Source organism: Homo sapiens, chromosome 17, assembly GCF_000001405.40.
Source record: "Homo sapiens chromosome 17, GRCh38.p14 Primary Assembly".
Taxonomy (NCBI): domain Eukaryota; kingdom Metazoa; phylum Chordata; class Mammalia; order Primates; family Hominidae; genus Homo; species Homo sapiens.
The window spans coordinates 37,288,480-37,304,241 of NC_000017.11; the positions used below are offsets into that span (position 1 = coordinate 37,288,480).

The 15,762-nt window shown below is 41.4% G+C and overlaps 1 protein-coding gene across 26 annotated transcripts in view; it reads right to left on the reverse strand.

Annotated features, from left to right (window-relative positions):
• The window catches only part of ACACA (acetyl-CoA carboxylase alpha), a 321,845-nt gene that overhangs the window by 203,488 nt on the left and 102,595 nt on the right, over positions 1-15,762 (reverse strand). Inside the window, exons 1-2 of one of the 26 annotated variants that reach the window (XM_047435886.1) lie at positions 12,902-13,039; positions 10,801-11,139 (exon numbers count right to left, since the gene is read on the reverse strand). The exons of 21 other annotated variants lie outside the window; for them this stretch is intronic. In XM_047435886.1, coding sequence (XP_047291842.1) covers positions 10,801-10,853 — 53 coding nt within the window. In that variant the 5' untranslated portion in view covers positions 10,854-11,139; positions 12,902-13,039. Of the gene's footprint in view, positions 1-936; positions 1,050-10,800; positions 11,289-12,901; positions 13,040-15,762 lie in introns of those variants that run through there. 4 more of the 26 variants (NM_198838.2, XM_047435889.1, XM_047435888.1 and 1 more) reach the window with 4 other exon arrangements.

A 15,762-nucleotide genomic window follows, 5' to 3' on the forward strand; every position in this document is an offset into this window, starting at 1 on the left:
CTGGGGCTGTGGGAACCGACTGCAAGGGAGTATGGGAATGATGGAAACGTTCTATATCTTGATCTCATAGTAATGGTTACATGGGTAGATATATGTGTTAAAACCATCAAACTACATAATTTTAAAAGGTGAACTTGGCCTGGTACATTGGTTCACACGTGTAAACCCAGCACTCTGGGAGGGCAAGGCAGAAGGATTGCTTGAGCCCAGGAGTTCAAGACCAGCCTGGGCAACATAGAAAGAGCTCATCTATACAAAAAAATCAAAAAATTAGCCGGCCTTGGTGGCACACGCCTATAGTCCCAGCTACTTAGGAGGCTGAGGTGGGAGAATCACTTGAGCCAGGAAGACTAGGCTGCAGTAAGCTATGATCACACCACTGCACTCCAGCCTAGGTGACAGAGTGAGATCCTGCCCCCGCTCCACCAAAAAAAAAGGGTAAACTTTACTGTACTTAAATTATACCTCAACAAACCTGACTTTTGAAAATACTCATTTACCTGCCAGGCATGGTGGCTCCCGCCTGTAATCCCAGCACTTTGGGAGGCTGAGGCGGATGGATCACTTGAGGTCAGGAGTTCGAGACCAGCCTAACCAATATGGTGAAACCCCGTCTCTACTAAAATTACAAAAATTAGCCAGACGTGGTGGCAGGCGCCTGTAGTCCCAGCTACTTGGGAGGCTGAGCAGGAGAATCGCTTGAACCCAGGAGACAGAGGTTGCAGTGAGCCAAGATCACGCCACTGCACTCTAGCCTGGGTGACAGAGTTAGACTCCATCTCAAAAAAAAAACAAAAAACAAAAAAATCATTTAACTGTCCACATAAAACAGGTATATCTGGCTGTAAATTATTCCTCAGTAAAGTTGGCTTTTAAAGAACTGTTACTAATGGTATTGAAAGGTAACACAGAGAATAAGGCTAAGGAAGTACCCACACCTTGAAAATCAGCAACTGTAAGTATGGCACAATCAAACATTTCTTCATCTGTCCTCATTATCTTCAACCCTCTAGGCACCTCCACTTCATATCCCACGAGTATTTCAAAGTCTGAGGATACAAAAATGTCAATCAAAATGCAAACTAGGACTGATCTTCTTAGGAACTTCCATTTTTCCATTACCCCATATACATTTAGATACCTAACCAATACCATGTGCTCTCCGGCAGTAATATAATCTACTCTATTACAGCTTGGCTTTCTCAACAACAGGAATCCACCACTGCATTATAGTATTTTTGTCAGTACTACTCCAATTCATTCTTCAAAATGCAACTAAACTGTCAGTGCTCCCAGTGAGCCTTTGCTGATGGGGATCCTTCCAACTTCACCCCTTAAGGAGGTAGGTAACTGAGCTTCCTCTGTGCCACACCAGAACATGCACTTACATCTTTCCTCCCAATCACACTGGACTGTTACATGAGCTTAACACATCTGTTTTCCCTGATAAATAGTGTGTGTTCCTTGAGGTCAGATACTCTTATTCATCCCTTGAGGTCAGAGATTCTTATTTATTGCTGTATCTCCAGCACCAAAGGGTACCTGGCACAGATAGAAGCTGTTCAAACATCTTTGGGTTTTTTTTTTAGACAGAGTCTCACTCTGTCACCCAGGCTGGAGTGCAGTGGTCCAATCTCGGCTTATTGCAACCTCCGCCTCCCAGGTTCAAGCGATTCTTGTGCCTCAGCCTCCCAAGTAGCTGGAATTACAGGCATGTGCCACCACGCTCGACTAATTTTTTCTATTTTTAGCACAGACGGGGTTTCACCATGTTGGCCAGGCTGGTCTCAACTTCCTGGTCTCAAGTGATCTGCCTGCCTCAGCCTTCCAAAATGCTGGGATTACAAGTGTGAGCCACCATACCTAGCCTGCTCAAACATTTTTGAATGGTGATTATTATTTATTAATTATTGACAACTACACAAAATAACACTATTTCTGAGTACTCGCTATGGGACAGACACTATGCTAAGCTCTTCACATGCACTGGCATATTAATCCTCGCAATAATGCTATGATGTTTGAGCACCATTTTACAAGTGAGGCTCAGAGGGATTAGGTAACTTGCCCATGATCATTCACACAGCCAGAAGTAACAAAACAGATCTGAATTCAACCTTTCTGACTCTAAGTCCTTGAACTTGATACCCTACAATACTGCCTCAAGTTAACCTGCACTGAATATAGTCACAGTTAATTATTCACTGTATATCCATGTAAATAATTATGTTTTTAGAGCAGGGGTATCCAATCTTTTTGCTTCCCTGGGCCACACTGGAAGAAGAAGAATTGTCTTGGGCCACGTATAAAATACGCTAACACTGGCGGGCACAGTGGCTCTTGCCTGAATTCCAGCACTTTGGGAGGCTGAGGTAGGTGGACCACGAGGTCAAGATATCAAGGCCATCCTGGCCAACAAGGTGAAACCCCATCTCTAATAAAAATACAAAAAATTAGTCGGGCGTGGTGGCGTGTGCCTGTAGTCCCAGCTACTTGGGAAGCTGAGGCAGGAGAATCACTTGAACCTGGGAGGTAGAGGTTGCAGTGAGCCGAGATCACGCCACTACACTCCAGCCTGGCAACAGAGCAAGACTCTGTCTCAAAAAAAAAAAAAAAAAGAAAAAGAAACACACTAACACTAATGATAGCTGATGAAAAACACATACACACACACACACACACACACACATCTCATAATATTTGTTTTTGTTTTGAGATGGAGTTTCGCTCTTGTTGCCCAGGCTGGAGTACAATGGTGCAATCTCAGCTCACCGCAACCTCCACCTCCTGGGTTCAAGCGATTCTCCTGCCTCAGCCTTCCCGAGTAGCTGGGATTACAGGCATGCGCCACCATGCCCGGCTAATTTTGTGTTTTTAGTAGAGATGGGGTTTCTCTATGTTGGTCAGGCTGGTCTCGAGCTCCCAACCTCAGGTGATCCACCCGCCTCAGCCTCCCAAAGTGCTGGAATTACAGGTGTGAGCCACCGCACCTGGTCAAAAATCTCATAATATTTTAAGCAAGTTTATGAATTTGTGTTGGGCCTCATCCAAAGCTGTGTTGGGCCTCATCCAAAGCTGTCCTGGGCTACATGCAGTCCATGGGCAGTGATTTGGACGAGCTTACTTTAGAGCAAATACCAGGTGATGTTTCTTTAAAACAGTTTTTGGAGAACAAATTTCTTAGATCTTTGCTGCCCATGTCTTCCAATGTTTACATATAAGCCCCAAATACATGCCAGTCATACTAACCATTACAAATCTCAATTCTCTCAAGAACTGAAAGAACACCTGATGATGTTATTAAATAAATGACTGATACGATTATACTAATCTGAGATGACATATACTAAATAAATGTAGTCTTATAGTTATCAAAAAATTAAGATAAAATTAAACATGAAGGAAAGGGCAAGAGTAAAAGGCAGTGCCTTTTAGGAGAATTTTTTTTTTCATTGAAACTGTAAAAATGTGAAGATACTAGAATGTTAATTTGACTGCTCTAAGAAGTAATTTTTTAACTTTGCACAAAACATAGTATGAATGTCATATATTCAATTAAAAATGTGCTTATGCATCTAGTAAGCAAAGCTGAACTACCCTTGCGGAAATGTGTTACCTGTTCAATGGCCTAAGGGATAATAGGTAATTTTAAAGAGGGTGATACGAGCATTTGTAGAGCTCTATATAACTGTATAACATCATGTAAATTTGTATGATTTTGTTTTGTGAATATAGTTTCAACTTGCTAAGTAAAGCAGTAAGGGGCAAACACTAAACTTACCAGTTAAAAAGCATTAAACAGTTAGACTTTGTAATGATAGTCTTTCAAGGTTTACCCTTGCTGCCATTATGCTGCTATGAAATTCTCAAAGCATCTTGAGAAAAACAAGCTTTGATTCCCCTTGGAACTTTCTAAACAGGGCAAAGTATATAAAGTCCTCTCAAGGGAAAGCCAGAAGTTAACAAAAAAAAGGCATTCTATAAGCAAGTTAAAAGAAAGATCAGACTTTAAACATAAGCATTTTTCTGTGCATCATCCTGAAAGATTTCAAAATGAAAAGAAGAGAATAAAAAAGGATAAAGAGTTTAAGAAAGGCCAGGTGCGGTGGCTCACATCTGTAATCCCAGCACTTCGGGAGGCCAAGGTGAGAGGATGGCTTGAGGCCAGGAATTCAAGGCCAGCCTTGCCAACATGGCAAAACCACATCTCTACTTAAAAAAAACAAAAACAAAAATTAGCTGGGCGTGGTGGTGTGTGCCTGTAGTCCCAGCTACCTGGGAAGCTGAGACAGGAGAATCGCTTGAATCTGGGAGGCAGAGGTTGCAGTGAGCTGAGAGCGCACCACTGCACTCCAGCCTAGGCAACAGAGCAAGACTTAGTCTCAAAAAAAAAGAAATTGACTCTAGGCAAATGACCAATAAGTACTTCAGTGCCGGCACTACCCGTGCAAAACAGGAAACAAAGTGTGAAGCAATGCAAGCACATATGTGAAATTTGGCTCCACACTAAATCCGGCTTCATGCTTAACTATATATTAAAAAAACTGGCAAACTGCCGACACATTTTTTTTTACAATACTTATTTTTACTTTAATCAAGACTAAGAACTTTAACTATGAAAATGTTAATTAGCCAAATTTCTCCAGTTCTCTATCAGGTTTTAAGCAATATTTTATTATCTAAACTTTTCCACGTCTTTCTCCCCTCCTTACCGGTTCCTTACTACATTGTTTCATAAATAACCTTTTCAAATCTGTAATTTGAACTAACTTTTAGAAAACTTCCGAATTAGACAAAATTATTATTTTTTCTCACTAATCACACAACACTTTCTGGCACATTTTGTATATAGAATTATGTGTTAACTAGAATTCTTATCCTTAGTAACCTAAAACTTCAATGAAACCCGAAAAAGCAAGAAATCCTGAACCATCAGAGATAAAAGCATTATAGATAAGAACAATTCCACAATTTGTAGAAACATATTTCCCCATGTCACAACCTTTTCTTAATTGGAACTGACCCAGATATTCAATGAGCATCAAAAATAATTTTAGGACTTTTTTTTTTTTTTTTTTTTTGTGACAGAGTCTTGCTCTGTCCCCCAGGCTGGAGTGTAGTGGTGTAATCTCAACTCACTGTAACCTCCTCTTCCCAGGTTCAAGCAATTCTCCAGCCTCAGCCCCCCAGTAGCTGGGATTACAGGCACACACCACCATGCCCAGCTAGTTTTTATATTTTCAGTAGAGATGGGGTTTCGCCACTGGCCAGGCTGGTCTCGAACTCCTGACCTCGGGTGATCCACCCTCCTTGGCCTTCCAAAGTGCTGGGATTATAGGCATGAGCCACCACGCCTGGCCAAGATTTTAATTTACACAAAAAGATTACCTAAAACATTTATCCCATTCACTGTACTCAATTCTTTCATGTTTAACGGTTTATTTAGATAACTTCTATAAACAGAGATATCAGACACTATCATTTAAAGTTAGTTATTTCCTTGCTAACCATGTTTTTAATAGCCAGCGAACATAAGGTGCTCACCTAAACCTAAGTAACAGCCTTAAAGGTAAATACACTGGTATTTTTTTTTGCCAATAACTCAGAAGACTTAGTTAACAACATTAAGTTACTCTCATTCGTTGAAAAAAAAAAAGGCACACAAACCAAGATCATTTTGTATGGGCTAAGTTAGTAGTTTTATAACCTTCTATGCCAAACATTGACATCTCAAAATATTTAGCAGAGACAAATATAAAATCCAGACAAAGAATGTATTCTGACAATTCTGAAGGCATTTCTAGTTTTATTTTACTAATAATTTTAAAGCCAGCTTGTTTAGTAAAGTTATACTTAAGTCACGTGAACTTGAAAATTGCTTAGACTTATTTACTTAATTTTTAAGTGCTCTTTTATTTATAAGCCAATTTGGTAGACACAACATGTAACAATAAGTGTGCATACAAATAAACACATCTAGACATGTATAGACGCACACAAACGAAGATTCAATCGCTTTTAACTGGGAATCTTAAGGCATGAGATAGCAATACAAGCTTGGGGGGTTTTCCTTTGTTTGCCCCAACAGATAATCCAATGAAGGCTGTGAACCAAAATTTCAGATATAGCAGTTTCCACAGCAGTTTGACACATGCAACTCCATCCCACTTTCCCATTCAACAGCAAGCTCCAGATTCCAAACAATATTGGGCCAAACAGTATTGCAACTGCGAGAGAAAATTCTAAGGAGGGCTTAATACTAGACCTCAGAACTCTGCCTAGGGTGTCCCCTTTGGAGAAGTTGAGGTCTGGAGGATCCCTGGGCCGTCCCCCTTTGGGGTCCAGTCTCAGAGTGTCAGACGTCTCTGACCTTAGGTGGGCACTGGTGCTGCTTAGCATGTTTTCCCTTCAGAGGCAATGGCCTACTATGAGGTTTCCTTTTGTCCCTGGATGAAGGCCTGGACTTCTGGCATCCTTATAATTTGATAAGGCCACACTTTCCCATGCTTCCTGTTCCACTAGAGTGATAGCCATGAACTGTAATGATAGGAACTGGAGGCTGGGTGGGTTTCTTTTGTCCTTAGCCAGTAGAGTAGGGGAAGGGAAGAATTTAGCATGAGAAAACAAGGTTTAAGTCACTGAAACAAATGCCAGCTCGCCCCAAGCTGTGCCACACGTAGGGATCAGGGACCACAACTGGAAAAGATAGAAAGGAGTCCTTCAGAGTGGCCCCGGCCAGAAACCTGCAGTTGCCTCTGTGTTTAGGTGCTGCCCACCAACCGTCCCAAGTTGGAAAGGAAAAGAGAGAGAGAGACTGAGATTCCCCTGTATGGAGCAGGAAAAACAAACAAGAAAAATAAACCCCAAACTTTGGGATTACCTCCTGGCTGGCTTGCCAAAATATGTTACCAGTGGAGGCTGTACAAGTTCTTGGTGTTTTGAACAAAGAATTGAACAAAACACACAAACAAAGCAGGGAAAGAATAAAGCAACAAAAGCAGAGACTTAACTGAAAATGAAAGCACACGGCCAGGCACAGTGGCTCATGTCTGTAATTCCAGCACTTTGGGAGGTAAATGTGGGGGGATAACATGAGGTCAGGAGTTCGAGACCAGCCTAGCCAACATGTTGAAACGTTGTCTCTACTAAAAATACAAAAATTAGGCCAGGCACGGTGGCTCACACCTGTAATCCCAACACATTGGGAGGCTGAGGCGGGTGGATCACGAGGTCAGGAGATCAAGACCATCCTGGCTAACACAGTGAAACCCCATCTCTACTAAAAAATACAAAAAATTAGCTGGGCGTGGTGGTGGGCACCTATAGTCCCAGCTACTCGGGAGGCTGAGGCATGAGAATTGCTTGAACCCGGGAGGCAAAGGTTTCAATGAGCCAAGATCGCACCACTGCACTCCAGCCTGGGCTAAAGGGCGAGACTCCATTTCAAAAAATCAAAAAATTAAAATAAAAAATAAAAAAAAGAAAATGAAAGCACACTCTACAGGTTGGGAGCTGGCCCAAGCAAGCCAGCCACTCAAGGGTCTGGTTACAGAATTTTCTGGGGTTTAAATACCCTCTAGAGATTTCCATTGTTACTTGGTATACACCCTGTGTAAATAAAGATGATGAAGTTACAAAGTCATTTATTCAGTGTATATCCTATGTAAAGGAAGAGGATGCTTCCTGTCATAACTGAAGTGCTTGTTTCCATTTGATTTAGTTCTAGAAAGTTCTTGGGTTCCCTGCCTCCAGGTCCTACTCGCTTGCATGATTCTCATTGTGTCCTCACAGAGTGGAAGGGGAAAGGCAGATCTTTGGAGCCTTTTTTTTTTTTTTTTTTTTTTGAGACAGAGTCTCGCTCTCTCTCCCAGTCTGGAGTGCAGTGGTGAGATCTCGGCTCACTGCAAGCTCTGCCTCCTGGGTTCACACCATTCTCCTCCCTCAGCCTCCAGAGTAGCTGGGACTAGAGGCGCCCGCCACCACGCCCGGCTAATTTTTTGTATTTTTAGTAGAGATGGGGTTTCACCATGTTAGCCAGGATGGTCTCGATCTCCTGACCTCATGATCCGCCTGCCTCGGCCTCCCAAAGTGCTGGGATTACAGGCATGAGCCACCATGCCTCGCCTGGAGCCTATTTTATAAGGGCACTAATCCCATTCATGAGGGCTCTGCCCCATGATCTACTCAACTCCCAAAGGCCCCACTTCTTGACATAGTGGTAATTAGATTTCAACATATACATTTTGTGTGTGTGTGAGGCAGAGTCTCGCTCTGTAGCCCAGGCTGGAGTACAGTAGCACAATGTCAGGTCACTGCAACCTCCATCTCCCAGGTTCAAGCAATTCTCGTGCCTCAACCACCTGAGTAGCTGGGATTACAGGATCCTACCACCACACCCGGCTAATTTTTGTATTTTTAGTAGAGATGGAGTTTCGCCATGTTGCCCAGGCTGGTCTCGAACTCCTGGCCTCAGGTGATCTGCCCGCCTCGGCCTCCCAAAGTGCTGAGGTTACAGACATGAGCCACCGTGCCCAGCCTCAACATATAAATTTTGGCAAAGACACATTCAGACACTATATATCAATATATACTTATAGAGATATATATGCACGTTTTATTTCTATATGTATAGCCATGAGGTTTTTATATAAAAACTATGTTATATATAAAACACATTTAAGGCCGGGCGCGGTGGCTCACGCCTGTAATCCCAGCACTTTGAGAGGCCAAGGCGGGCATATCACCTGAGGTCGAGAGTTCGAGACCAGTCTGACCAACATGGAGAAACCCCATCTCTACTAAAAATACAAAATTAGCGGGGCATAGTGGTGCATGCCTGTAATCCCAGCTACTCGGGAGGCTGAGGCAGGGGAATCGCTTGAACCCGGGAGGCAGAGGTTGTGGTGAGCCAAGATCGCGCCATCACACTCTAGCATGGGCGACAAAAGTGAAACTCTGTCTCGAAAGAAAAAAAAAAAAAACCACACACACATGCGTGTGTGTACATATATATGTATATATGTGCGTGTGTTTGTGTATGTATATGTGTGTGTATATATATATATATACACTTTTTTTTTGAGATGGAGTTTCGCTCTTGTCACCCAGACTGGAGTGTGATGGCGTGATCTCTGCTCACTGCAAATTCTGCCTCCTGGGTTTGCTCGATCAAGCAATTCTCCTGCCTTGGCCTCCCAAGTAGATGAGACTACAGGTGCCTGCCACCACGCCCAGCTAATTTTTGTATTTTTAGTAGAGACGGGGTTTCACCATGTTGGCCAGGCTGGTCTCGTACTCGTGACCTCAGGTGATCCACCCGCCTTGGCCTCGCAAAGTACTGGGATTACAGGCATAAGCCACCACCGTGCCCAGCCTATATATACATTTTTGAAATATATATTTATACATGTATATACATAAAAAATTTTGATACTATATTATATATATACACAAACATAGATTATATATATCTCAGTTACTTTGGAAAAAAAATTTTTAGAGATGGGTTCTCACTGTTGACCAGGCTGCAGTGCAGTGGCAGGAATATATCTCCCTGCAACCTCAAACTGCTGGGCTCAAGCAATCCTCTGGCCTCAGCCTACAGAGTAGCTGGTACTACAGGCTCATGCCACTGCACTCAGCTATATTGTAGTTACTTTTATACCTCTTTGCCTCTCAGTGGAAGTTTTGCTTGGTTATCCCCTCAAAGGGTGGAAGAAGTGGTAAAAAAGAAAAAGGGGCAATTACAGAGGCAGTTGGGGGAAAAAAAGGAATGGAAAAGGATGATCTAAAGACAGATTTTGCCAACTCAGTGTTTTTTGTTTATTTTCTGTCTTTGCCTAAGTTTAGTTTAACTTTCAGTAATTTTCTTCAAAATAAAAACTCTACATTATAAAAACAAGCAAACAAAAAAGATAATGGAGGGATGCCAGGCACAGTGGCCTGTAATACCAACACTTCTGGAGGCCAAAGTGGCAGAATTGCTTGAGTATAGGAGTTTGAGACTAGCCTGGGCAACACAGTGAGACCCCATCTCTACAAAAAACTTGAAAAAAAAATTAGCCAGGCATGATGGTGCATGCCTGTAGTCCCAGCTACCCAGGAGGCTGAGGTGGGAGGATCACTTGAGCCCAAGAGTTCAAGGCTACTGTGAGCTATGACCGCGCCACTGCACAAGCAAATCATTCAAGTCTTTTATGTCAATTCTCTGCAGGGAGGTGCAGACCTGCAAGAGGCCTGAAGAAGGCCCAAGAAGGCCTGACTCATTTCCTCCTCAGCCTGAGTTCTAATGGCAATAAGAAAGGTCCCAAAGTGAAGGAGTTCGGCATCCTGAACAACTCTGTCTGACTACATACCACAATTACAGCAGGCACCTTTCCTAGCCCCAGACACACATTCTAAAAAAGTTTTCTGCAAAACTATACAATATCTTTCCTTTACAGCAGTTGAAGAGACTTCACTGGAAATACTAGCCAAATCCAGGGAGTAAATCTGATACATCTGAGGTTCCCTTCAGGAAATAATAGCACAGCAGGGTCTGCATGGGGTGCTTGTTTTCAACGTAGCTAAAATATCACACATGGGCTCAGGGATCTTTTATTCAAATTCCCAATATAAAATAAAGGTTTAGACATTCAGGAGCCAATATGCCCATTTTTATTCATTTTCTTAAAAAAAATAGCCTTCATTTTTTAAAGATAGAAAAAAAATGATCAAATAAATCTCAGGGCTTAGCTGTCAGTACCTTACTGTTTTTTTAAAGATATATATATTACCCAAATGTGGTAGCCTAACACTTACCTTTGAAGCATGTAATATCTCATTTCCTTATTTTCCTCTGGAGAACCCTCCATATCAAGATGGGAAAAGAATGGAAGCTTTTTCTTCAGATTTCGGCCTTGTAAACACAAGCCGCAGTTCCTCCTCCTGTTGCAGCTGCTTAAAACCCAGGAGGACAAGAGATACTGTGCCTTCTGCCTGGCTTCAGTCAGACTAGAATACTCCTGATGGCCTCAAACTATAGTCTTTTTGTCTAATTGTTCCCAATTTCCTTCTTTCCCCACCTTTCTCTTCCTTTTTGCATCTTCTCTCCTCCACACACTTAGCTTACACACACAATTAGTTGATTTCCCAAGGGAACTGAGAGGAGCCGGGGAGAAATATAAAAGCTTGTTTAACTAGAAAGTAGATCTTAGCAGCTCTCCTTTAGTTGCAGCAAACATTTTCAACAACAGTCACTTTCTTCTGACAGTCAACGGAGAAAAGCTCCACTGCCTCTCCTGGCTGCCAGGAGCACATGACAGGGAAAGCCCAGGACAAAAAGACCAAATTTACAAGGACAATTAAGCCAAGAAAATAATGGGCTCATGAAATCCAGAGGGAGGAGCACAGCTCGGTCTAAAGAGGTAATTTCTGAGATCCAATCAAAACAAATAATACCAATTATCAGACTGCACGGTGGGGAAAAGCAGGTCAGGTGGGAAAGTAAGCACGTAGAAAGGAAACACGCCACTACTAGGGAACTTAGAATCAAGTGTGAGCCACGATTCTAATTTTCAGGCCAAAGTAGTGGTATATATAGACACCTAAACTAAGGTTTTATGCACCAAAGCTTGAGAATAGGAATGGAGCTGGTACAAAACGGATACAGAAAAGATTGTGGGTTAAACCCTTAAAAGGAAAAGAGACCCTGACAAATATTTTGGAGGTCTAACCCCCTTAAGCAGGGAAGAAAAATCCTGCCTAGAAAGACTACTTACTGAGACACATATATTACTATGAAAGCAAATTTGCCACAGACAGATCTCTTAAAGAAATAAACACTAGCTGAATGTTATCTTGTAATATCTTCCTGTTTTTAGCTTTTACTTAAGTAGATGCTCATGATATTCTGTGTATTAGGAGAAAAATCAATGGCAAAAGACCCTAAAGGCTTAGAATCTATAGAAAGACAACTTCCTGAGGCAAGTCCTCAGGACTGTACACCAAATCTAACCTGAATCATGAACCATAAAAAATTTATTCCCATCAAAATGCTGGATAGAAATAGTTAACAATCTGATGCCAACCACGCTGAGAATATATTAAGCTTCCAGAAAAACCTTCAAAAACAGAAGTACACAAATGACCTGGAGCATAGATAGAAGTTAAATAATCAGATAAAAGATAAATGATTACAACAAACAAACATTGATCTGAAGGACATTCGGGCAACTTAAGTTGTAAAGACTCAAGTTGCCCAAATTTGAAAGCAACTCAATCAGGCCACCCAACATGACAACCAGCTATAATAAAAAATGGAAGTCCTGGTTGTTCTCTGGTCTGTACTTCACATCATCCCTTCCACAATGTGCCAATGCCCATTAAGTTAGTCAAGTTTACTTTCCCTTTAAAGAACCAAGCTGACACAGAGGAGCCCTTCTATCTTTACGTCTCTTCAGAATAACCTGTCTCAAAAATAGAGCACTGCAGCCTTTGTTCAGGAAAGTTCAGTAGCCACAGATGAGAAGCTGCTCAATTTTACACACACTTAAGTGTCTACAAAACAAACTTGTTATACAAGTTCACCATTCAAAAATGCAAATAAAGCACTAAGTGTAAAAATAAGGCAGACTATTTTGCACTCAACTATATCAGAAAAATATACTAAAGAGGCACACTCAATAATCGAGTTTATGCTTCCTTTCACCAAACGGATCTTTCTACGACAACCAAACACTAACACAGCATACCCAGGTCCAAAAGCAAAGCTAGAGATCTATATAGATCTTTTATAGACACTGCTGCTCACAATCTTTCTCTAATATTAGAATACAAGAAATAAAAAGCCACATTCATTTCTCCAAATTTAAAGCATCCCCCTTTTAATCTACCATGAACAGTGTCCAACGTAGACACATACCTGGCACAAAATCCAACTAGAAGCCCACACTGATCCCAGCATTGTAACATGCCAAACACCAAGGATGACGTAGCAGTTTACCCGGCAGACAGTGATGCATTCGCTAGCTTGACTGCAACACAGTCTGAGTTATACTGCAGCACACACACTGTGAGAGACTGTTTTACATTGGGTTTTTACAAGCAGAGAAATCTTGGATCAAGGATGTGTCTCTGTCAAAAAATCAAGTGACCATATATTTAAAGGTTTCTTTGTGGACTCTAAATTCTGATCCATTGACCTATATGCCTAGCCTTGAAGCAATGCCACATGGTCTTGATAACTGTGACTTTATAGTAGGTTTTGAAATCAGGTAGTATGAAGACCTCCAACTTCACATTCCCTTTTCAAAAGTGTTTTGGCTATTCTAGGTCCTTTGTTTCCATGTAAATTTTAGGATCGGCTTGTCAAATTCTAGAAAGAAAAAGAAAGGCTGCTGGAAATTTGATATGGACTGTGAATTTATGATCAATTTAAGGAGAACTGCTGTCTTGACAATATTGAGTCCTCTAATCCATGAACATGGACTGCCTCTCCATTTATTTAGATTTTATTTAATTTCTTTTTTTTTTCTTTTTTGAGATGGAGTCTCGCTCTGTCTCCCAGGCTGGAGTGCAGTGGCACGATCTCCACTTACAACCTCTGCCATCTGGGTTCAAGCGATTCTCCTGCCTCAGCCTCCCAAGTAGCTGGAACTAAAAGAACACCACCACGCCCAGCTAATTTTTTGTATTTTTATTAGAGACAGGGTTTCACCATGTTGGACAGGCTGGTCTGGAACTCTTTTTTTTTTTTTTTTTGAGACAGGGTTTCGCTCTTGTGACCCAGGCTGGAGTGCAATGGCGCGATCTCGGCTCACTGCAATCTGCAACCTCCACCTCCCGGGTTCAAGCGATTCTCCCGCCTCAGCCTCCCGAGTAGCTGGGATTACAGGTGACTGCCACCATGCCAGGCTAATATTTGTATTTTTAGTAGAGATGGGGTTTAACCATGTTGGCCAGACTGGTCTCGAACTCCTGACCTCAGGTGATCCACCCACCTCAGCCTCCCAAAGTGCTGGGATTACAGGCGTGAGCCACCACACCCGGCCGGTCTGGAACTCTTGACCTCAGGTGATCCATCCGCCTCAGCCTCTGGGTTTGGGATTACAGGCGTGAGCCACCACCCCTGGCTGATTTTATTTAATTTCTGTCAGCAATGTTCCACAAGTTTTAGTGTATAAGTCTTATACCTTTTTTGCTCAATTTATTCCTATTTTATTCTTTTTAATGCTATCATGAACAGAATATTTTCTTAATTTCATTTTTGGATTGTTCATTTCTAGCTAGCATATAGAAATATACTTAACTTTTCTATATAGATCTTACACCCTGTGATCTTGATAAACTCATTTAAAAATTTTTTGTTAACAATTTTACTGAGATACAATTCACACACCATACATTTCACCCACTTAAAGGGTACAATTCAATAGTTTTTAGTATATTCACATAGTTATGAACTATCATCACAATAAATTTAAGGACATTTTCATTTCATTATATGTGTCATTTTTTTAAAGAGACGAGGTCTTGCTATGTTGCACAGGCTGGACTTAAACTCCTAGGCTCAAGCAATCCTCCTGCCTCAGCCTCCCAAGTAGCTGGGACTACAGGAACGTGCACCACGCATGGCAATTTTAGAACATTTTTATTACCTCCAAAAGAAACCCCATGCCCAGTAGCAGCCACTCCTCATTTCTCCAATATGCTCCCCAATCCTAGCCAACCACTAATCTACTTTCTGTCTTTATAGATTTGCCTATTACAGACATTTCATATAAATGGAATAATATAATATGTGGCCTTTTGTGACTGGCTTCTTTCATTTAGCATAATGTTTTCAATGCTGTAGCATATATCAGTACTTCATTTCTTTTTATGGTTGAACAATATTTCAATGTGTGGACACACCATATTTTGTTTATACATCATCAGTTAATGGATATTGGGTTGTTTCCATTTTGTGGCTCTTATTAATAATGTTATGAACATTCATGTATAAACTTTTATGTGGACATATGCTTTCCTTTCTCTTGGGTATACAATAAGGAGTGAAGCTGCCAGATCATATGGTTCATATGGTGAGAGTTTAGTTTTATAAGAAAGTGTCAAATTAGCCGGGCACAGTGGCTCACGCCTATAATCCTAGCACTTTGGGAGGCCGAGGCAAGTGGATCACTTGAGATCAGGAGTTCAAGACCGGCCTGGCCCACATGGTGAAACCCCATCTCTACTAAAAATACAAAAATTACCTGGGCATGGTGGCAGGCACCTGTAATACCAGCTACTCAGGAGGCTGAGGCAGGAGAATCGCATGAACCCAGGAGGCGGAGGTTGCAGTGAGCCAAGATCGCGCCATTGCATTCCAGCCTGGGCAACAGAGCGAGACTCCGTCTCAAAAAAAAGAAAGTGTCAAATTATTTTCCAGAGTGGCTGTATCATTTTACATTCCCACCAGCAATGTACAAGAAATCCAATTTTTCTGCATTCTCACAAACCTTTGGTATTGTGTCTATTTCTTATTTTAGGCATTCTGATAAGTGTGTAATGATATCTCATTGCTATTTTAATTTGCATTTTCCTAATACTAATTAATATTTGCATTTTCCTAATACCTAATAACTATTAGATAATTATAAAACATCTTTTCATGTGTTTATTTGCCATAGGTATATCCTCTTTGGTTTCATTTGCTTCTTTTTAAAAATCATTTCTCTTTTCTTATTGAGAATTTCTATTTATTTTATTTTTAATTTTTTGAGACAGAGTCTTGCTCTTTTG